General features: G+C 39.3%; 1 protein-coding gene across 13 annotated transcripts in view, besides 1 other annotated feature; it reads left to right on the top strand.

Annotated features, from left to right (window-relative positions):
• Positions 1–19,037: 19,037 nt before the first annotated feature.
• Positions 19,038–23,173, top strand: part of GRIK1 (glutamate ionotropic receptor kainate type subunit 1) — a 403,064-nt gene continuing 398,928 nt past the window's right edge. For all 13 annotated transcript variants that reach the window (NM_001320621.2, NM_001320618.2, NM_175611.3 and 10 more), the window contains exon 1: positions 19,038–19,651. In NM_001320621.2, the coding sequence (NP_001307550.1) occupies positions 19,534–19,651 (118 nt within the window). In that variant the 5' untranslated portion in view covers positions 19,038–19,533. The remainder of the gene's footprint in view (positions 19,652–23,173) is intronic.
• Positions 19,251–19,752: an enhancer, noted in NCBI's record as "H3K4me1 hESC enhancer chr21:31311600-31312101 (GRCh37/hg19 assembly coordinates)". NCBI's record gives its function as "activates a minimal SCP1, AML or CMV promoter by ChIP-STARR-seq in primed H9 embryonic stem cells {active_cell/tissue: H9 hESC(primed)}" and the evidence as "EXISTENCE:reporter gene assay evidence [ECO:0000049][PMID:30033119]".

The following is a 23,173-nucleotide window of genomic DNA, read 5'->3' as shown; positions in this document are numbered from 1 at the left end:
TCCAGAAAATAAAGTTAACTGTACAATAGCAAACAAAAAAACGTTTCAGAATAACTCTTAACCTAAAAGTTAAGTTTGTCAGCACATCCTGTGGAAAAGTGTCTCCAGGCAGATCCCCTAAATCCTTCAGGTGTGATTTTAAATGGTTTGCACCTGAATTTCTTTGCCTGGGTGCTTCCTCTGGTCTCTTGAGCCCTTTCTGTTTACAGACTTAGCAGGCTGGAAGTGCCTAACTAGCCTCTGGGAGTAGCCCTCACTAGTAAGTATCCTGGCAGCCTCTCTCACATAATGGAACTTCCAAGCTGTGTTCTGTGCTTTTCTGAATTCCCTTGAGAGATTAAGCTGCTTTTATCCACAGTGGTGACTTGCTTGATAGCACACCATATCACCAGCCCACTTAACTTCACTGCTCTGCTTTCCTACTGATATGTCCTGGGATCCCACACTACTTATATTTCAATCCTTAACTGGGTCCTGTAGGAATGGAAACTAAGACCAGCCCCAGCCATTGAAAATCGCAATACAGCAATGTTTATTGTTCTGTTCCATAAAGAGCTCTATTTTCCTTAGCCCTGCATTGGCCTAGAATAATCATATACAATGATTAAACTATTGAGAGGAAAAGGTCCTTAAAAGGCAATGTATTAGTTCATTATCACAGTGCTGATAAAGACATACCCAAGACTGAGCAATTTACAAAAGAAAGAGGTATAACTGGACTCACAGTTCTGCGTGGCTGGGGAGGCCTCACAATCATGGTGGAAGGCAAGGAGGAGCAAGTCACGTCTTACATGGATGGTGGCAGGCAAAGAGAGAGTGTGTGCAGGGAAACTCCCTTTTTTTAAACCATCAGATCTCATGAGATCCATTCACTATCACCAGAACAGCACAGGAAATACCTGCCTCCATGATTCAGTCATCTCCCATCAGGTCCCTCCCACAACATGTAGGAATTATAGCAGCTACAGGATGAGATTTGGGTGGGGACACAGAGCCAAATCATATCAGGCATCTAACTCCCTTTACACATTTTATAGATGAGGAAACTGAGTCAGAGAGATAACTTGTCTTTCTTGAAGCCATGTGGCCCTGTTGTGAAGAACACGGGCTCAAGCAAGTTAGATTCCGTGGTTTGAATCCTGGCCCCAACAACTCATTAGCACTTATTAGCATATCTACTTAGCATTAGACAAGTGTGGAAGTAGGAAATGTAATTAAAGCATACAAAATAAGGAAGGAAATTTTTCTCGATCTCAAGTAAAATAAAACTGGATTAGCATAAGGCAGACAATCATAAAAAGAGAAGAGTTTTATATGTAGAGAGAAAAATACACAGATTGTTGATAATAGTGCATAAAAACAAACCTAAACACTAGAACATTAAATTCTGAGGAGCACAGTCTTATGAATTAAAAGACTTGATTTGAATCCTAGCTTTGGCTCTTATTGGCTACTAATTTTTGTCAGTTTGCTTAACTTTCCTGTAACTCCAACTAGTCATCTGAAAAAGGTGAGTAACGATTATAGTACCTCACAGGATTTCTGTGAAGATTTAAAGAGATAATGCATATAAAGTAACTGGTACATATTAAATTCAATAAAAATTAACTTTCAATATTATTATTGGCACAGTGGTAGTGATAAATTCCGAGTCCAAAACTCTCCTACCCTACCATGCTCTCCATCCCAAGACAGTAGTGGCACCACACACGAGTGGTGATAACTAACATTTAAATCCATATCTAAGCTGTAATTACCACAATAAATTAAAAACTTCCCTCTTTTCATTAGTATGTTAAAAATAATTTCTCTTTAAGCATTTTTTTTCTCATTTAATATGTGGTACAATACAATTTATTTGTAGCATTTTTTTTCCTTTTTGACACAGTGTAGAACTGTTTTATGTGGTGTTTCTTCTGCTTAATAAACTGAGCACCTTAATCTTAAGTTTATGTTCAATTAAGAGAATCAAAGCTGAAAAACCTGATGTGCAATTGCAATGCATAATTTACAATTTAAATTCACCATGCAGGTTCAGAATGTGATCATGATAAAACTTTTCTTCCTTAATAAAAAATGTCAATAAGCATTGTTGGTCAAAGGGTACAAAGTTTCAGATAGACAGCAGGAATACATTTGAGATCTATTGCACAGTAGGGTGACTGGAGTCAATCATAATGTATTGTATATTTCAAAATAACTAAGTACATTTTGATTGTCTCACCATAAAAATGATAAGCAAATGAGGTGATGGATATGTTAATTTGCTCAGTTTAATTATTTCAAATTATATGCATAAATCAACACATCACATGGTACCCCATAAATATATATAATTATGAGTTATCAATTTAAAAGAATATTAATAATAAAAACAATAATAAACTAGAAACAAATGTGAACTGGTGGGACATTAATATACACTGTTACACCCATATGGGATGATGCCATGTGGCCATTAAATCACTCAGTGGAATAATATTTGATATGAAAAGTGTTCTGGATAAATTTCTAAGTAGAAAAGTGTGCTACAAAATATTTTGAACAGGGCGACCATCGTCTTGAAATATGTCTGACCTGGAGAAAGACTAGAAGAAAATATCAACAGTGGTTATTCTTACCTGGCAGGGTTTTGGGTAATTTCCCTCTGTTCTTTTCTGTGTTTCCAAATTTTCTGAATTGCTAGCATATTCATTTTAGTAACTATTTAAATATATACTTTAATTTTAAAAATGTCAATAAGTAGGTAAGCAGTAATGAACAAAAATAAATTGTACAGCTATATCTATTCTTTACTCCTGGACTTGAATAATATTCTTGGTTCCTTACATTCATATTTGTTTTTAAAGTATCAGTTTTTTAACTTTCACTAAATGTTGTGAACATACTTCTCAAGCAAAATTTTGTAATTGAGACAAGGGAAGTTTAGAATGTTTCCTCTAATTGATCTTCCATACTCTTTTAATTAGAACAGGCTCAAGAGAGACATAAAAATAAAATTATTGATTCATCCGAAATTAAAAATTCCTCATTGTGTTCTCATCAAGAAATGTAACATAACTCTTGTTAACAATGATTTTCTAATTTTAATTACATTAAATTCTGCCTTCCTAAATTCCTGCTGTCATTCTAATTAAAGGGACATTTATCATTTTCTATGCAGTGGTCCTATTTTGGTACACTTGAACCATCTCCACATAATTTTTCAAAAGTTTTTTGCACTTTCAAGTAGGTGATGTTATTCTCTGCTAAAAGATTCATAAAATATTTCAAATGTCTTGCAGATGCTGTAGAAGACATATGTACTTTCTATGACACATAATCCAATTGAGAAAACTTTTAGATGTACATTGCTACTGAAAACAAAAAAAAAAAAACAACACACACAACACAGGTTAGTGCAACTAAGTGTTAATGTTTTAAAAATTCCCTGTGAACAGGTACTAAATTTCAAACATGTTCTCAGAAGGTGCAATATCACATGGGGATAAACACCATCAGGAAACTTTTCAGTAGTTTTTGCCCCTTCTTTGTTGCTAGGATATCACAAATTTTGTTCAATTTCTTATGAGTGCCCACTTTTTAAACTTGAGGATGTCATTGTGAGGATAACAGACTGGATATCCCACAGGACTGTGATTGCAAGTCTTCATTCAATTAGTATATTTTAAGCAATTGGCATTAGCAAAAAGTAAAATGTAAAAACAGGACATGTAATAAACGAATACAAACTAAGAAAAAAAAGGTCCCTGCTGTCAAGCAAAATCAAACTGGGTTAGTATAAGATGAACAATCAGAAACAGACGTGTTTTATAGAGAGCAAGAAAATATAGAGAGAAACAACAGTTCGCAAACACAAACCTAAACACGAGAACAGACATTCATTCATTGATACCTTCACAGCTTTACTTACAAAAAATACTTTTTCGGCACCTGACCTAGTCAAACCATAGGGTGGGTATTGGGAATACAAAGACTAATAAACTTTGATTAGCAGAATAAGGATATAATATGTATGGAATTAACTTAGCGTGATGAAGCATATGGTAAGTGTAAGCCAGAGACCAGAAATAAAATTAATTGATTTAGGGAATCTATAAGAGAGTTTTCTTCAACCTACGAAGTCCAGGGAAATTTTGTGAAAATAATTGTGATTTGAAAAATAATTAGCTGATGTCTAAATATAATTGTTTTCAGTCAATAAACATGTATTTCCTACCTAATATAAATAACCTAAGTTATGGCATTACAATTAAACACACACACACACACACACACACACAAACACACACACATCCTGGCTAACACGGTGAAACCCCGTCTCTACTAAAAATATACAAAAATTAGCCGGGCGTGGTGTTGGGTGCCTGTAGTCCCAACTACTCGGGAGGCTGAGGCAGGAGAATGGTGTGAACCCGGGAGGCGGAGCTTGCAGTGAGCTGAGATCGCGCCACTGCACTCCAGCCTGGGCGACAGAGCGAGACTCCGTCTCAAAAAGAAAAACAAACGAACAAACAAGAAGCAACAAAATCATGTCCCTGAAACGCTCAGTATCAAATAATAGAGGAGACTAATATATAATTAACAAGAATATGACGTGCTTAATAATAAAATTGAGATGTAAGTGTGGCATTATGCAATGAAACTACCCAAGGCCAAGACTGGCTTCCGAGCTTCATGTCTAAGAGGATGAAAGCTGCAAAGTTTTCACATTTCAGAAGATGGTGGTTAGAGAAGAAAAGTTTCTGTTTGATTGTTTTTTAAGAAAAGGAAAGGAAATAAATATTGTTATAGAGAGCTGAAACTTGGGGCAAGAGATAGATGCAAGGGTGATTTTAAAGACATATTAATATATAACATGCAATGTAACTTATTTCCTCTGTCTTTCCAAGGAGACTTCCAGAAAAATCTACAATGTTTTTCAAAATTATTGTCCGATTTGAATTTTTTTCCAGATGCCATGACATGTGTGTGGTGAGATAGGCTTCAGGTATGTGCTGGGTGAAAGTCATAGCCCTCAAGTGTCCAGAAACATTCAGGTGACAGTGTCCCCAATACATTTCAAGTCCAAAACCAAATGTTATCAGTTCCCTAATGTTGACTGTCCTTCTGTGTTCCAGCCTAGGACACTGACGCACACAGATGACCTAAGCCCAGAGCCTGCCCATGATCTTCGACTTCTCCTTTCTCCTCACCAGATCCAAACCAGTAAAGCTGCTTCCAGACAGCTTAACACCATATGTCTCTTCTGACTCTATTCACTGCTATTCCTACATGTGATCATATCCCCATCAATTTATTCTAGAATTACTGCCTTAGTCTCTTATCTCTATAACCCCAACCCCATCTTCCTCTCCAATCTGTTTTCCATACTGCAACAATAGTGAATTTATCAAAACATAAATTTGATCACACCAGATTTTGAAGAGCTGATGAGGGTAATAACCAAACCAGCAAGGTAGAAGAGGCCTGGAGACTATGGATAGAAAGTTACAAACAGAAGGATCTTAAACAACATTGATCTCAGCTCTTTCATTTAACAGAGGAAAAGTTTGGGGCACAACAGTTCAACAAAAAAGATTTGTCTGGAGGGATACAAAGGCATAGAACAAAGACATCTCATTATATCCTTGTTTCTTTTTCTTTTTTTTTCTTTTTTTTTTTTTTTTTTTGAGACAGAGTATCGCTCTGTCATCCAGGCTGAAGTGCAGTGGCGCGATCTTGGCTCACTGCAATCTCTGCCTCCAGGACTCAAGCGATTCTCCTGCTTGAGTATCACATTTCATGATGTCAGATGGAGAAGAAACACTGTAGGGAGATCCTCCCAGACAGAAAGAAATTCAGAAAAAGAGTCAAGGTGCAAAGAAGAATGTGATTTCCCAAAAGGCAAAAGGAGCTTTGTAAACTTTGTTTTGAAAAATCTCTCAGAGGACTTTGAGTCAATGTCTTATTTTATCCAAATTGGCTTTCACTTCTGTCACTATTATTAGAGCTGTTGAGTTTTGCCTGGAAGTGTTGTAGATCCTGTGGTTCCCACGTTTTCTCAAAAACAGAATCACCTGAAAATATTTCTGTGGTTGAGAAGTGCAGTGAATTTAGCTGGCTGTTTGAACACTTCTCTAATGTCATTGGCTTTTTGTTCTACCTTCCTGCTGGTTCTCATCACTCTTCTAATTCCAAATGTGGTTAAGAGAAAGAAAGGCAAAATAAAAGTCTATTTTTGAGCCAAATAACACCACCCATGACTAACTATATACTGTATTTGTGACTTTGGACATTTTTATCATTGCCAACTCCTTCGCCCACAAATTGCTACTACTAAATAAGAAACATCTCTTTTATATTCATATAGCCTAAATTAAACACATTGTTATCTATAATATGTATGTCTTACTGAATATTTGGAGATTCTCTCTTTTTTATTCTCTCCTTTTCTCTCTTTTCTTTTGTTGGAGGAAAATGGATGATAATAGTAAGTAAATAACAGCAATTTTCTTTTGGAGATTTTCATGCTACATCTCCCTAAAGCCATATGTGTAGACTGAGTATGGCTTGAAAATCAAATATGAATGAGGCAGGAATACCTAAAATTATAAGGTAGGACAAGGTTTCAGGAGTGTGACAGTGTGACAGAGAGAAATGGAAAACCAAGATTGTACTACCATGAACAAACAAAAAGGCTAAATTACTTGATATTTTTAATCCTACTTTATCTATAAATAATGTATGTATGTGATTTAAATAAGCTATTAATGATCTTAAGTTTTTGGTTCATTTAAAAAAACACATACATCATCTTAATTCCCCAGAAGGGACAGTCATCATATCTTGTTCAGAATGGAAGGAACATTTGGTAAATGCACAGATTGATAAATAAAACTCTAAGTTGGGAACCAGCATAGCACAGTTGGTGAAGGGAGCAGAGTAAATCTGCTTTGTGACTTACAACAAAAATATTGAAGTCTCTTAGTCACTCAGTTTCCTCTCACATCAACTAGCAAAAGTGTAATCTATTTCAAAAATTGTCTTGGCTGCTGGTTAAGGCTTGTGATGATATAACACAGATCTTATCTCTCAGATTTTATATCATTTGTGGTAGGGGGCTGAGCAAAAGGGTAAAGTCACATGTATCTGGATCTATATCTTGTTTCAATTATTTTATTCTTAATACTGGCATAACTATATAAGGCTATAAAGAGGAGCTGCTCTGATTCTGTAGCCACAGGCAGAAATGTAAGTGACATTATCAAGGTGACTTTCAGAGACCAAAGTTGGGGCCAGAGTACGTACTCAGATACTCCTTTGCCTACAGCTGGCTAGATTTCCATCTTTACTGCTGTCTTGGGTATGACAGCATGTCATGGAGGATTTTCTGTGGCATTGCTGGAGACTGTAAGCCACATTTTAACATTCTTTACTCTTCCATGGTGTGCACCAGATAGGAGCATATGGTTCCAAATGTCTGTGGCAGTCGGGTAGAGGACACAATAAAAAAAAGTTGTTTTATGTTGAGAATATAAAAAAGAGAGACAAATAATGCAATGAATTGGCCACTGGAAAGAAGGCAGCTTCAATGTTTTAAATTGCCTATTATGGTTGTTACAGAAGAAAAACAGAGAGAGTTAAAACATTGATAATGTCTACTGCTGTGAGGGGAAAAACTGTTCTCATTGATTATTGTAGAACTATTCAATGAGAAAAAAATCAATATTACTCTAAGATTGTCAAGTCATTTTACAGAATACAGGTACTTTGTAATAATATTTTACAAAAGATTGTCTTTTTTAGGATTTAAAAAGATAGAGAGTCAGTTGATAAACTGGTCTGGTTTCCTGTGTGAATTTTCAGCTCAATAATTTTACTGTGGTGGAAGGAAATTTGTTTACCTTGCCCTGGAATAAATATCCACCTAACCGGGCTCTTACTTGTTTTCTTCTCATTATGTAGCAAGCTTTTGGAGATCAGTTCATTTGCCCCAAATGTCTGAGCTGCACAGAAGTAATGCATTTCCATTTTTAAACACTTGGGATTCAGTGGGTTTTTTTGTTTTTATTTTTTAATGACTGAGGTCACCTACTCACCTATTCACAGGCAATTAGTACACAGATTTGGAGATACTTTTAAAATTTACTGGCCATGGGAAAACTCAGGCCACTTTAATCAAGTGATATCTTATAATATGCCTTACTTCTTAAAGAAGGAGATACATTAAATTCGTAAAGTAGGAAACAGTTTGCCTTAAAGAAAGAGATTATCAAATGCAATTCTTGTGACCTACGTTGCTGTGACCAGGACATTAAGAATAAGATTAATTACCCAGTCTTCAAAAATTGTAATTATCTAACAATTATGAGCTAGCTAAAAAAAGAACAGTGTAGGTGAAAAGTATAAAAAGGTTGAGAAATATCTAGGGTCTCCTCAGAAGCAGACACGCAGACGAGGATTTGAGTGTTGTTAGTTAATTTGAGAGACAATTCCAGGAAAGAATAGTAGAGGAGTAAGGATATGGGACAAGGAAGGAGAGGAAGCCAATAAAGATGCACCGACAAGCAAGTGATCACTCAGGCAACTGGAACTGAATCCCTTTGGGAAACCGGAAAAAGTATAGAACATACCTTGGAGTTTTCCCAATGGGTATTACTTCCAGTGACATTGACTCTCTAGCACTAAACGCAAACTTCCATAGTCAAAAAGAAAGGAAGGAAGGATGGGGGGAAGAGGGAAGGAGGGAAGGAAGGAAGGAAGGAAAGAAGGAGGAAGGGAGGGAGGGAAGGAGGGAGGGAGGGAAGGAGGGAGGGAGGGAAGGAAGGAGGGAAAGAGGGAGGCAGGGAAGAAAGAAAGAAAAGAGTCCTTAGGCAGAAAGTCCCAGCTGTATTCAGGAGGCCATGTTCACATATAGTGGAAACTGCTGAGAACATATGGATGGGGCATTGAGAGCATCTGCTAAAGCAATGTATTTATTTTAAAATTTAATTAATTTATTTATTTTTAAAGAGATAGGATCTCATTCTGTCACCCTCATAGCTCACTGCAACCTCAGACTCCTGGACTCAAGCAATCCTCCTGCCTCAGCCTCCTGAGTGGCTGGGACTAAAGGCATGCACCACTACTCATGGCTAAGTTATTAAAAACATTTTTTTTAGAGATGGAGTCTCTGCCTAGGCTTGTCTCAAATGCCTGACCTGTAATGATTCTTTCACCTCAGTCTCCCAGGTAGCTCGGACTACAGGCAGGCACCACCATGCATGGCTAATTAAAAAAAAATTTTTTTTAGAGAAGTCTCACTATGATGCCAGGCTGGTCTCAATCTCCCAACTGCTAGTGATCCTCCCACTTCAGCCTCCCAGGTAGTTGGGACTATAGGTGTAAGCCATCATGCTTGTCTTGCTATAACAATTTATATTAAAAGTTATAAAATAAGTGCTTCTGGATAAAGGTGGAGGATTGAACACTTTTCCCCCAGAAATCTCACAAAAATGACAATTAAAGTACAAGGAATGGGAAGATAATCAGAGAAGTGGAAACTTTCTTGGCCAACTGAAGAATTCTATATCTTAAAGTAGTACTGCCGAAAGGCAAGAATCAAGCTAATCTTCAGAGTAGAAAACTCATTGCTCAGAACTAGAAGCCTGGATCACATCAGGACCTGCAGCAAACAGAGAACTAGTATGAAAGGGCTTGCTGGAAAGCTCTTTAGGACACAATTGACTTCACGCTACTGGATAACATCCTCTCCCTATAACTTTCACATGAAACAGGGGCCATAGTCTCATGGAGTTGATGTTTGCCAGCTCTTTTCTTTCACTCGACTCCCAGAGGGCACCAGAAGAATCTTCTCTTGGGAATATAATCAGCCCAAGAAAAAACTCTTAAACATACTCTCAAACACATATATACTGACATCGGAGTTTTCCTGATGTCACTCCAGGTCCCTCTTTAGAAAACCTTAGAACCCCCTAAGTCCTGCTTATTGCATTCAGATCTTACAATCCACATTCCAGTTCCCTTTCCTTAAACATGAGCACACAACAAAGGGTTAAAGGACATTTAAGGAAGTTTTTCACCTTGAAAGTTGGAGACTAAAATACATGGAAAAAAAAAGGAACTTAAAAGCAAGAGACTATTTGGAGGAAAAGTCTCCCAATAATATCCTTAGAGAGTTAAAAAATAATGTTGCATCTATAAAACAAAAATAACACATTAAAAAGTCAGATGAAAAATAAATCAAAAACACAAGAGCATAAATGAAAAAAATCATAAAAGAATTGAACAATAAAGTTGAGAAAATATTCCAGAAAGTTATACAAGTTGACAAAGAGAGGAATTAACGCAATACATACAACACCGGAATAAATTGAATTTTAAAGAGAGCTATTTTAAGCACCTTTACTCAGGACGTTACTCAAGCATGTTCTGAGAGAAGGAGAGAGATAGAGATAGAAATAAAGACAGAGAGACATGGAGGCAAAAAGAAGGAGGAGAAGGAGTAGAAGAGGGAGAAGAAGGAGAAAAAGAAGGAGACAAGAACAAGAGTGGGGAGATGGGGATAGGACAGCAAAGTAAACTATAAACCCTGAACAGTGATTGAACCTAAAATTGTAGTATTTTAAAAAGAGGAGAGACTGGGCGTGGTAGTTCATGCCTATAGTCCGAGCACTTTGGGAGGCTGAAGTGGGAGGATCATTTGATCCCAGGCATTCAAGACCAGCCTGGGCAACATGGTGAAACCCCATCTCCATAAGAATATAAAAATTAGCCAGGCATAGCATTATGTACCTGTAGTCCCAGCTACTCAGGGGGCCGAGGAGGGAGGATCACTTCAGCCCCGGAGGTCCAGGCTGCAGTGAACAATGATTGTGCCACTACACTGTAGCCTGGGTGACAGAGTGAGACCCTCTCTCAAAAAAAAAAAAAGAGGAGAAAGAGAAAATCAATTTAATCAGATGAAGGTGTTAAAGAGTAAAATCATGTCAATATTATCTATTGACATAATGGAAGTCAGTAGATAATACCTCAAATTGATGAAGTCGACAAACACTATTTATGTATACGACGGAGAAACAGAAATATAAGATGCATAAATAGTGGACAAAATAGCTGAAAGAATTGGAGAGCAGGAGCTGGAGGAAGAGGGAGAAGTGGTACTGCTTCAGTATGTTTTTATTTAGTACTATTTAACTTTTAAAATGATATGCATGTATTGCTTTGATAAATAAAATATAATAATTTAAAAAACAGATGACATTTGCTGTATGAGATTACGAGGAGAGAAATTAAACCAGATGTAATAATTAGAAATTTGGCTAATTTACATGATTTAAATATGAAGGGGTTTAATGTGTTTTGTTGTCAGGAGCCTTAAATTGAAATTCCATAAGGAAGGGTAGGCTGAATAAAAATTAGAGCGTCGTAACGGTTGTGAGCTTCAATTTTAGCTTTTTAAAGGCAATTTCTAGCTCTCTAACTTTAAGTTTTCTGTGCATTTATTTAATCATTCCCTGAAATAATTTGAGCTTATAAGATTGCTGAAAATAATGATTAATGAAACACTATGTAAAAGCAAACTTTCATCAAACATTGACTACATTAGTGAAACACAGGAGACGTACCATGTTATACCTCCCTGCCTGAACTGAGATTTCTTTGTTATAGCTTACGGAATTCTTGACATTCTAAGCATTCAGATCTAATCAGTCTGCCAATACGAATTGAGTTCCTACTATGTGTCAGAAGTCGGGAGTGGCTCTGGACGTGCACAGAGCCACAGCATCGTATGCACGCACAAACCCCGCTCTCCTGGTTCTTGAAATCTAAAGGAGAGAGAGAAACATTAAACAAACGAATAAATAGTTAACATTAAAGATAAGTGGTGAGGAGGAAAAGTACAGCATGCCAAGAAGGAATAAACTGGGTTGACTTATTTTTCACTGTGGACCCAAGGAATGCCTCTCTGAGAAATGAGATACTCAGGAATAAATAATCCTTAACCAGGTAACCTGTGAGAAAAAGGATGCTTAAGGACTGAGAGCGGTTTAGGGAAATGTGCTGTCATGAGGAGTTGGGCATGACTGGGGAACAGAAGAGGACCGGTGGCCCTGAAGCCGAATGAGAAGGAAGAATTCTGGAGAAGTAGAGTGGGGAGGAACACCAGAAGCAAAAGCAAGGAGAAGCTGGTATTGTGGCCCAGGCTGGTGGGGAACTCCTCCTTGTGAAGCATGTAACTGGGTGGATGAATGATGGCAAATGAGTACAGGTGGAAAAGATGCATCTGGCTCCAAGGTTTTACATCAGTTTTAGAAGAAATTCTAAAATCCTCAGGGAGGCCTGTAAGGATCCCTAGGGACCTAGAATCTGCCCACGTTTCCCATCTCATCTGGTGCTACAGTCTCTCCAGCTCACAGCAGCCAAATACGCTTTAAGACCTTTTCTATCACTGGGAACTGCTTTCTGTAATAGAGCCTTCTCTCTGCCTGGAATGTTCTTCTCGTCCCCCTTGCAGTCACTCCCAAGTTCCCTTTAAGGCAATGTGTAAAGCTTCCTTCCTCTGAGCAGTCTTTCCTGAGCTCCTAATAGAAGCCAAGTTCCACTTTCAAAATCTCTTCTCACATCTATTAGCTTTTCTTCATGGAAACTACATTCTGTCCCTGTGCCTCAGTGTCCTTTTTTTGTAAAAGAGAAGAACTAATATGAGTAACCATCTCAAAGGGTCATGGGGACTTGGGACTGCAGGGCACTAAAAGTAGTGCCTGGTATATAGTAAGGGCTCTGTAAACATTAGCTATTATTTGAAGGAAGCTAGGCCCAAAAGAATATATTCACGCTAAGTCTCAAAACAGGCTTTTTATTTTTGAGACAGAGCTTTGCTCTGTCACACAGGCCAGAGTGCAGTGGCGCGATCTTGGCTTACTGCAACCTCCACCTCCTGGGTTCAAGCAATTCTCCTGCCTCAGCTTCCGGAGTAACTGGGATTACCAGGCACGTGCCACCACGCCCAGGTAATTTTTGTATTTTTAGTAGAGACAGGGTTTCACTATGTTGGCCAGGCTAGTCTCAAACTCCTGACCTCAAGCGATCCACCCACCAGGCATGAGCCACCATGCCCGGCCTATTTGCAGGACTATTTACATGATCATAAGCCCCATGAAGGCAAGAACAATACCTATTGGCTGGGCCTCTGATAACTAATGTAGTCCCTGAAACAAACGATAACAAATTAAAACATAAACTTCATGCTGTCACTTCTCTATTCAAAGCTTTCAGTGACTCCCATTTCATCCAGAAGAAAAGTCAGTCCTTATGCCAGCCCACAAGTCCTTAGCAGATGCATGCACCTGCTGCCTCTCTAATTTCACCTTTGCTACTCCTGTGTCACTCATGACTTTCCAACCACAGGAGAATTAACTGGAGTTGGTGGTTTTGCTACATTGTAAATGTACTAAATGGAATTAAATTGTTTGTTTTGAAAAGGTTAATTGCATGTTATGTGGATTTAATCTCAATTTGTTTTTTAAAAAGCTGGGGCTTTAGAACCATAGTGACCCAGCTCTAATTCTGTCACTCAGCTCTATCATTTCTGACATCTGCTTCACCTCTCTGCCTCAGTTTCTTTAGCTGTGATATGTGCATAACAGTAGTACTTACCTCTTAAGGTTGCTGTATTAGGTAAGTTAACGCCTGTAAAAATATGAAGAACAGCGTCTGGCATATAAAATAAATACAAATAGATGCTCATTATCTTAAGGAAAAGCTCATTCTATTTATAAACAAAGGAGAGCAAAAATATGAGCCATCCTTTTACAAAATTTCTACAATTTATATTGACTCTTAGGTCTGGAACAGGAAGTGGAGAATATGAGTCTAACCACTTCATGCTATGGTTGAGGCAGTTAAAGTCCGAGGAGGTGATGTGACTTCTCCAAGAGCAGTGAGCTGTAGTCAGTGGTCAGCCCAGGGCTGGCTCCCAATACCCTGAGTACTCAGCCTGGATCTTTCCTTCTTTAGCCTGTGATGAGTCCAACATATGTATGAAATTAGCTAAATACCAACTAGGTTCAGACCCTCCATGTGACTGAATTTCTTTAGAGTCTCAGGTTATTACAATAGGATGTGAAGGGATAAATAACAGAGATAGGTTTTCTTTTGTTTTTTTTTTTTTTTTTTTTTTTTTTTTAAGATTTCACTACAGCTGCTTTCCACAGTGCTTTGGCAGATAGACCAGTGTTAGTACAGAAATTACAGTAAAATTGTTAAGGTATGTGTAATGATAGCCACTTTGCTGAAAATGAAATTATAAAAGAAACCCCTACTCCATATAGCATTTTGCTGAAATCTGAAGAAGCACATGTAGTGTTATACTCTGGTTTTCCTAGACATGAACTCAGGATAACACTAAACATTAAGCTGATCAATGTAGGTGCTTTGAATGAAATTAAAAGAGAAATTAGTCTCCTTATTCAACTCAATCTTACAAATCTGCTGCTATAATTTATAGGTTGTACATCTTATGAGAGAGCATCACTCATTCATTTATTCATTCAGTGAGTAGTAATCAAGCTCCCTCTAAGCACCAGGCACAGTGTTACACACTAAGGTTTCAAGCAAACAGAACAGACAAAGAGTCCACTCTCAGAGAATTTGTAATAAAATAAATAAAACAAGTAGAGAGTTAATAATGACCAGGAGGGATCTAAGAAGGGCCTTGTGAAGAAAGCCAGTGGGAGGAGCTAATTTAGATCAAACAGACAGAATGGATAGAAAGAGGCAAATGAGAGAAGAGAGACAATTAAGAGTTTATTGTAATAGACCAGATGGAAGATGGAAGATCATGGTGATTTAGGCTAGTGCCGTGGCTCTCAATCAGGGGTAATTTTGTACATCGGAGGGCATTTATTTGACAATGTCTGCAGACATTTTTGTTGTCCCACCTTGGGAGGAGGATACTGCTGACATCTAGTGGAGAGAGCCCTGGGAAGTGGCTAAAAGTCCTACAAAGAACCGGACAACTGCCTTCATAAAAAATAATTTTCTAACCGAAAATATCAATAGTTTTGAGGTTGAGAAACCCCAGGCTAGTATGATATCAGTGGAGTATAGAGAAGCTGACTAAAGACATACTCTGGAGGTAAAGCCATTATAAAAATAAACTGATACGGGAGTAGGTGAAGAAGTAAGGAAAAAAATGAAGGGTGACCTCCTGATTTTCCAGTTTTAATGGCTGGGTGGAAGGTGGTGTTCATATTGAAATAAGAAAATTTGGGAGAGGATTCAGTGCGGGACAATGACATGGGACAGAATCAAGGATTTGAGATGTTGGCTCACTTAGAAATGGTCACTAAAATTGGCTGCATGAATCGGGAGGTTTGAGCAAAAGACAACATTTGGGAATCTTTGGCTAAAAGGTAGTATTTAACATCATAGAAATATATGATATGACCTAGCGAAAAAAGCATAAAGAAGTAGTCAAGAACTCAAGATTTAGACCCTACATCAGCTACACAGTCCCAGCAGGCTCTAAAAGCCACTTGATCTTTTGTTTTTGGTGCCATGAGTAACATTTTAAGTTTCCTCAACTATGCTCACAACATTTTGAAAAGACTGTATAACATTCGCATTCCCCAGGTTACTCTAAGCTATTTTTCTTTGTATCTGTTATCTCCTAAAAATTAAGTAATTTAAAATGGATTAGTATCTAAGTAATGCCACCAGCTCTCATAGGAAGCACAATGCTGCATGTCATTGTACTGTTTTATTGTTAACCACGGTGTATCAATTTAAGCTTAAGATTTGGGGAATGGGAAAAAGACGGCATGCATTCAATTAGACATGTTTATTCTTAAGAGGGCACTATGAGAAAATGTGAATCAAGAGTGATTACCAGAGTCATTTCGGGCAAAAAATAACTGGATGAATATATGTACAAAATACAGTCCTTCTAAAAAGCACAAAACAAATTAACAGCAGCTGCTGATCACTCATGAGTAACTCAACACCATGAGCCTGTGTACATGAGCAGTGGAGAGAAGCATTTTAACAAGGAAATAAATTTCAGTTTTAAGCTTTACAGAATTTTACAGATGATACAGAAACATAACTGCAGTGTGCCATTTAGTTTTCGAGAAACTTCCTTTAGGAAATCTCTCTAATATCTCTAATTATCAAAATGAACTGTTTCCTCATAAACCAGAGACAATACAGGTAAAAAGTAGCAAAACTCCTGAAATAGTATCAGAACAATTATGATTACCATATAATTAATTGGACCAGTGTTGTTGACTTCTTGCCCAAAAAACAAAATATTTCAGTCTCTGCAATCTGGGGCAGATTATTACTAGAAATATATGCATGGATTCCTTTAACCAGAAAAGTAATGACCACAAATAAACTAAAATATGCTGAGTAACAAGGACCTTGGGAAATTCTTCACATGCAGTAGCTCATATAATCCTCCAATGGCCCTGTAGTGTTATTATTATCCTCATTTTACAGATGAAGATATCAAGTCATAGAAAGTTTATTAGTTAGTATAGAGAAGCTTATGCTGCAGTAACAAATATCTCAAAATTGTAGTGGATTAAAACATAATGTTGAGCTGGGACTGATTTGTTAGCAGTGTGTTGCTGTTCTAGAAACATTCAGAGCAACTCCCTTACAAAAAATTACTCAGGGATTGAGGCTGCTTTCATCTTAACCTCTAGAACTTGTGGCTTTCAGAGTTACTCTGGCAGGGAAAGAGAGTCCTGGAAGTCATGCAGGATCTTTTTTCACTGTCTTCCTTTTCTCCTGGCAGCAGTGCACTTCCACTCATATTTTATTGGCCAAAAATGGTCACATGATTCCAACTAATTGAAAAGGTAGATTCCAACTAATTGAAAAGGTACAGGCTTTCATGAGCCAGAGAAAGGGAAAACTAGATATACGTAAGCACCAGCAATGGACTACAGGCAGACATAAAAATTTAACCAAAGCTAAAAACATAGACTTGGTAAAACCAGAATTTAAACCCAGTTTGTTCAAAAGCTGACTTAATTCTAGACCTTGGGTCTTCAAACTTTAGCCACTCACTATCTGCTATGTATTGGTCTTTGATGTACCCAGAGAAAATAGATGACTAAAAATGCTTACCACAGACCTTTAGGTTTAAAAATAAACCCTCTAACAGATTTACATTCATTCTCACTTTAAGAAATACTTACTAATCCCTTTTAAACCACTGATTCTTTGAGTTTTGAAGCATCACTTCCTGAAGAACCCCTTTCCAAACTCTTAAATGGGATTACACTACTTTTTTTCTTTACTTCCATAACACCATTTTGTAAAGCTCATCATACTTTAATGCCAATGAGTTCCAGAGTGGCAGCAATCATATCCCTCTGTGTCTCCAGAGATTGGCACAATACCTCACACAACGTGGGCTCTCAAAAAATATGCATAAATAAATGAATAGTTTGACTTTGCCTCTTTTCTGAAGCAGGTCATGCTACTGTTTTTCTTAATTTTTATTTGCACAGGAAGGGTCTCGCTATGTTTCCAAGGCTGGCCTCGAACTCCTGGTTTTAGGTCATCTTCCCTCCTCAACATCACCAAAGTGCTCCAATGTAAGCCAGCACACCCAGCCTTGCCGCTGTTTGATATTCTCTGGTCTTAAAAATGCTCCCCGAATGAGACAAAATTTACTCTTCTACAATTTCCCTCTGACAATCTTATTTTTCTTAGCTCTTCTCACATATCTAACACTGAATAAGGCTACTTTCTTTTAACACAAGAATTCTTCAAATGTCTGAAGATAACCAGCATGTGCTCCTAATTCCTCTTGGTTTCCTCAATCTTTCCACGCAAAAATGCATTCCTAAATCCCTATCAGTCCCTCTTCTTATCTGCAGACATGTTCTGCTTTGTTAACTCTCATCCCAAAGTGTCCAGAACCAAGCCTACTACTTGAGATATGAACTGACTAGCTTTCCACAGTGGAGTTCTAACCTCCCTTGGAGAATGAACATGCATTTTCCCCACCATAGGGTTTTTAGTGAAAAGTATAGTGTCTGACACCACAAACAAAATACTCAGTAGGTATTTGTTGAATAATGAATGAATTAATTAATTAATACACGAATGGACTTTAAGATATATTAGATTCCTTTTGCAATTGTTTCCCACTCTAGGCTCATATAACAACTGTGGACATACTTTTCATATGGATTTGGTCAGTTCTTCAAAATCTATTTACCAGTTAAAAAAAAGAGATGTTAATATAGACCTAGCAAACATATATATAGAACATTCCCCACAAAACTCGAAGGAAATTAATCCAACATAATCAAATGCTGATTTCCCTAGGGAAGTGTCCTTGTCCTTCTACAGAGAAACAGTCTCCAAACCTACATTGCTAAAATAGCCTATCTTTCAGTATTCAGACCTGACAGTTAAAAGAAATGAAGAAAAGTAGCGGCGCTGGAGGCTGCTTCTATCTCAGTGGCATGTGTAAATGGAAGCAATTTGCAAGAGATTATCTTGGGTCCAAATAGGAATGAAGCCACTATAATCTTGGAGTACTGAAGCTTTCTCATTCCTCTCCCCCTTCCCCTGTTCATCATCCTCGTCAGAGTCAAAACAGGAGCCCCGGTATTTTCCAAAATATTGGAGGTGATTTTCCATTAAATGATGGGACGAGTCATAGCTGGCTGTCTATAAGACCCCCTAACAGGTGCACACGGACATTACCAAGAAGGCTTCCTTGCCACTCACAGCGGACAGCAGAGGCTTTCTCTGCTCGGACCAATAGTTTAGATTTGATCTGTCTTGAGAATGCAACACTCGATCGACTTCCCAGCAGCAGAGCGCAAAGTTGAGGGAGAGAAAAAAGAGCGTGTGTGTGTGTGTGTGTGTCTGTGTGTGTGTCTGTGTGTCTGTGTGTGTGTGTGCGCGCGCGCGCGCGAGTATCTTGATCAGTGGGGTTGGGGCGGGCAGTAAATAAAGGGTGGGGCCAGCGAGGGGAGGAGGAAAGCAAAGATTCAGAGAAGCCGGAACGTGGCTCCGCTCCCAGTTAACCTGCTGGAGCTCATCAGGCTTGCTCAGAGCCCCTGCACCAACTCACCCTGTACCCTCTCTCCTTCTTCGTTAGTCTTCTTTCCCCCTTTTCCCTCCTCTGTCTGTGCCTATCCCCCGACTTTTGCATCTGACCAAAGGACGAATGAGGGAGACGTTCCTGCAGATCGGGGCAGCAACTTTCCTCAGCTGGTCTCTGGGCTCCGGGAGCCAGAGAGCGCTGATCCTCCGCGGTCTGCGGCCCATGGAAGAGGAGGAGGAGGAGCCGTGATGGGCTAGCGACAGCACTGAGGAGCCCCGAGAGAGCTCAGCCTTGCCAGCCAGCTCCGCGGTCCCACGCGGGTTCCCTCGAGCTCGCTCCGTGGGGAGCGCGCAGCGTGCTTGGAACCGGAGCATCCAGAGAGGATGAGGCGGGGACCCGGCCCAAGTTGGGTGCATCTCTCGGGCGTCCGGCAGCGGCTGTATCTCGGCATGAATTAAGAAGCTAGGAAGATGGAGCACGGCACACTCCTCGCCCAGCCCGGGCTCTGGACCAGGGACACCAGCTGGGCACTCCTCTATTTCCTCTGCTATATCCTCCCTCAGACCGCCCCGCAAGTACTCAGGATCGGTGAGTGAGCCCCAGGCTGCCTGCTCGGGAGACGTGGTCGGTCGCCGCACCAACGCGGGTGTAGCGGGTCCCGGGCGAGGCAGCGCGCGGCGGCGCAGGAGCCGGAGCTGGGGAAGGTGGAGGTCAGTGCTCATGGGAGGCTACACAAAAAAGGGGGAGCCGCGTCACTGCTTCCCTCCTGGAGGGTGCCGGCCTTCCCCGGGAGGTACAGTTGGCGGGTTTTTCAATCTGGGCTCCAGGAACGCGGGCTAGAGTGCGGGGATCCAGGTTCGCAGGGACCGGCACCCCTACTCTGGGCAAGGGATCGCGAGCCGCTGCAGCCACTTGAGTTGGGCGCAGAAATGAGCTCTCCCAGCCTCCTGGGTGGGCGTCTGGCAGTCCAGATCCGCAGTCCCGGTGCCTGGCAACCTGGGCTCTGGGCACTGGCAAGTATGCACGAATCTCAAGAATACAATACAGGGACCACTAGGGATGTGGGAATATCCTAGAGCCTGTTACCCCAGAGCCTCCAAGTTTTTATGCCTAAGTTGGATTCTTCCACATGGAGTCTGCCAACTCTGACGGGTTCCACTAGATTGGGGCAGAGTTCAGATCTGACTTCGAGCTGAAGATTCGAAGAGTGAGAAGGACGGTCAGTTAGCAACATCAGCAGACACTTAAGTTTCCCACTTGCTCCCTAATTTGCCCGCTTGCCTGCCACTGAGCAAGATCCAGTTCCCAGTCCAGGTAGCTTCCTAGGAGATTCAGGGCTCTGATCTCGAATGAGATAAAAAAGACACCGGAAAGCTGAATGTGGGCAGCCCAAAGATGACAAAACGCAAGGACAGTGGAAGGGGCGTGGACTGACAGCCATAAGTGTATAGCACCCACCACCAAGGTTTGGTCTGTGGCTGCATAGGGCAATTTCTGAACTTTGAGGGTTGACACAGCTCTTCGCCTTTTAAACTAAACCCAGTTATTGTTCGCTGAATCTCATTTGCCCTCCTCCTTTCCCAACCCATCGGGCTTCTTAGAGTCACGGTCACAGAGGGAGCCACAGGAGAAGCTGTGACATCACATGGGTCTCTTAGTTTCTCCCATCTTCCACTTTCAACCGCAAGAGTGAAGCCCTGATCTCTGAGGACTTCTAACTCCCCCTTTCCAGGAACTAACAGAATATGCCAGGAGCAGTGCCAGACACTGGCATAGTGACGCTTCCTGAGCAGTTGAAATTGCTCAGTTACTATACTAGCTCTGACCTACAATTAGTCAGCCCCTTTACAAAAATTCAGAACATACTAGGTTTTATTTTTTAATCACTGAACATGCCCACTAAAAGAAAAATAGAAATGTGCTACTTTGAGCTGCAGATATCAAATACTAACTTTTACTACACACATGTTTTTTCTAGACTATGGGTAATTTTAATGTGCATTGTATTGGATAGAGTCTTTTCTAAAATAGTTTCAAAGTATTTATTTTTTTAAAAAAAAACTTACTACTATACATAACTGAAATATCCTTTATCTGAGATAAGTTCTAGGTTTAACATCCTGGGTTTTTGGGAATGCAATCAACTCTACTCACCCTGGTCAAAAAAAAAAAATATTCTGAACAATACAAAGTAACTAATGAGCGTGTGTGTTATAATTTCCAATACTTATTAACTTAATTGGGGTTTTGCTTGTGTCTTTTACCTTTTGAAAGAGACAAATCTAGGGATGCTAGAAATGGCTGTGCTAGCCAATGTTCCTCATCCCTGTATAACAAATATAAGGTAGCATTTTCCTTTCCTATATCCCCCACATCTAAAGGAACTCAGGAGGAGAAGGGAAAAGGATGCTTTAAGACATATTTGTTCACAGATCTCAGTATTTTTCTAAGCTCCAAGCAATCACAATCATCTACGTAAAAGTAGTTTTCAAGGTGAAAACAAACAACATGATTCACTGACCTTACAAATATATGCAACAAGATAATGAGGTTTTCTTTTTTCTAAATGGGAGCCAAAATGCATAAAATAAAATGGCATGGCATGGCCTGGTGTTGTTTATGTGCAGTACAAATGTGTTACTCCTTCTGGCCTGGAGTGTCCTGTGGCTGACATGAGCACTGTTGCCCCGTATGCACCTAAGGACCAATGCACGCTTTTAAATGAGCAGTTTAGCACACTGTGGAAACCAGCTTTACCTCAGAGGAAACCTGTTTCTCTACAGTGACTTTCTTGTGTCAGTCAAGTGCAATATTGAATACAAAAAATTAACAAAAAGGGGTTGGGGACTAAGCCAAAGTTTATGTGTGTGTGTATGAGTGTGTGTAAGGAAAAAGAAAGGGGAGTTGTATTCTTTATTATATCCTGTCCCATTCTTCTTTCCAACAAACCATCACCCATCCAAGCAACCGACCGATCAACTAAACAATCAACCAACCAATAAAAAGGGTCTCTAGATTATTAACTGGCATGTTTTTTAGTGACTTAAAATATTCAAAGTAAAGTATAGCAAAATCGCTAGGCACTTAGTACTGGGTCCTCATATAGAGAAGGCACTCAAATGCTTGAATGAATTAATTACTGGTCTACTTTTCTTGTCAAAGTGTCTGCTTAAGCTTCAGCTTTGGAGAAAAGGATAAAAGCTAAGATAAAATTCATGCATACTGAATATTTGAGAGGGTATTGAGTTCACATAGACACGTGATTTGAGCATACACTGTGAATGTCTGTTGGAAAGTTTATAATCTTATGCAACAGTTAAGAGACAGAGAAGGTCGGTAGGATAGTGGTGCCCTTAACATTATTACTGCACTCAAGAAGTTTCCCAGCAGCTTGCATAGAAGAGAAATATAGCTGGTTGCTGGGAATTGTGTGGAGCTGCTGGAGTCATTCCTGCCTCTCTGTATACACCAGTGTATATCAACAACCAGTTAGTTGACATATGTAATTAGTTGGTCTGTGAGCTTCACAATCACAAATATCTTCCTTAATTGGGTGGCTGACTTATAACTAATGGTTAGAACAGGATCTAGGTAAACTTAGTAGACGTGGCCCACCACCATTAATTAAAAAAATATTCCAAGTGCATATGCAATTTTAGGACAGATGTGTAATATTTATAATAAGGATTGCAGAAAGACAGATAATATATTTGTGTGCATCATCTCAACACATACAATTATAGAGGTCATGGTGAAAATAGGATTAAGAATTGAGCAGTGGGCAGCCAGGCTTTCCGAAGCATGTTTTGGTGTCAGAAAGCATAGGTTTGATTCCCACGTCCGTGATTTACTAGATACATCAATGAGTGAGTGAGGGTTATTTAGTCTTACCAGGCCATTGCTGTTGCATCTGATAAATTGAATTAAAACTATTGCAAACCTCACAGTGTCATTGGTAAGAGCTCAATATGAAAGGGCTTTGAGTAATATCTGGATACATTTGTTTTATTATTATTATTGTTATGTTGTTTTTACTACTTTTTTTATTATTTACATTTTCTTCCTAAACAGGGTCTTAACAGTTGATTGGTGTATCTTTATAAGACCTTT

Source organism: Homo sapiens, chromosome 21 (genome assembly GCF_000001405.40).
Source record: "Homo sapiens chromosome 21, GRCh38.p14 Primary Assembly".
Taxonomy (NCBI): Eukaryota; Metazoa; Chordata; class Mammalia; order Primates; family Hominidae; genus Homo; species Homo sapiens.
The sequence above is the reverse complement of the archived record's forward strand: the minus strand, read 5'-3'. Positions and strand labels throughout refer to the sequence as shown.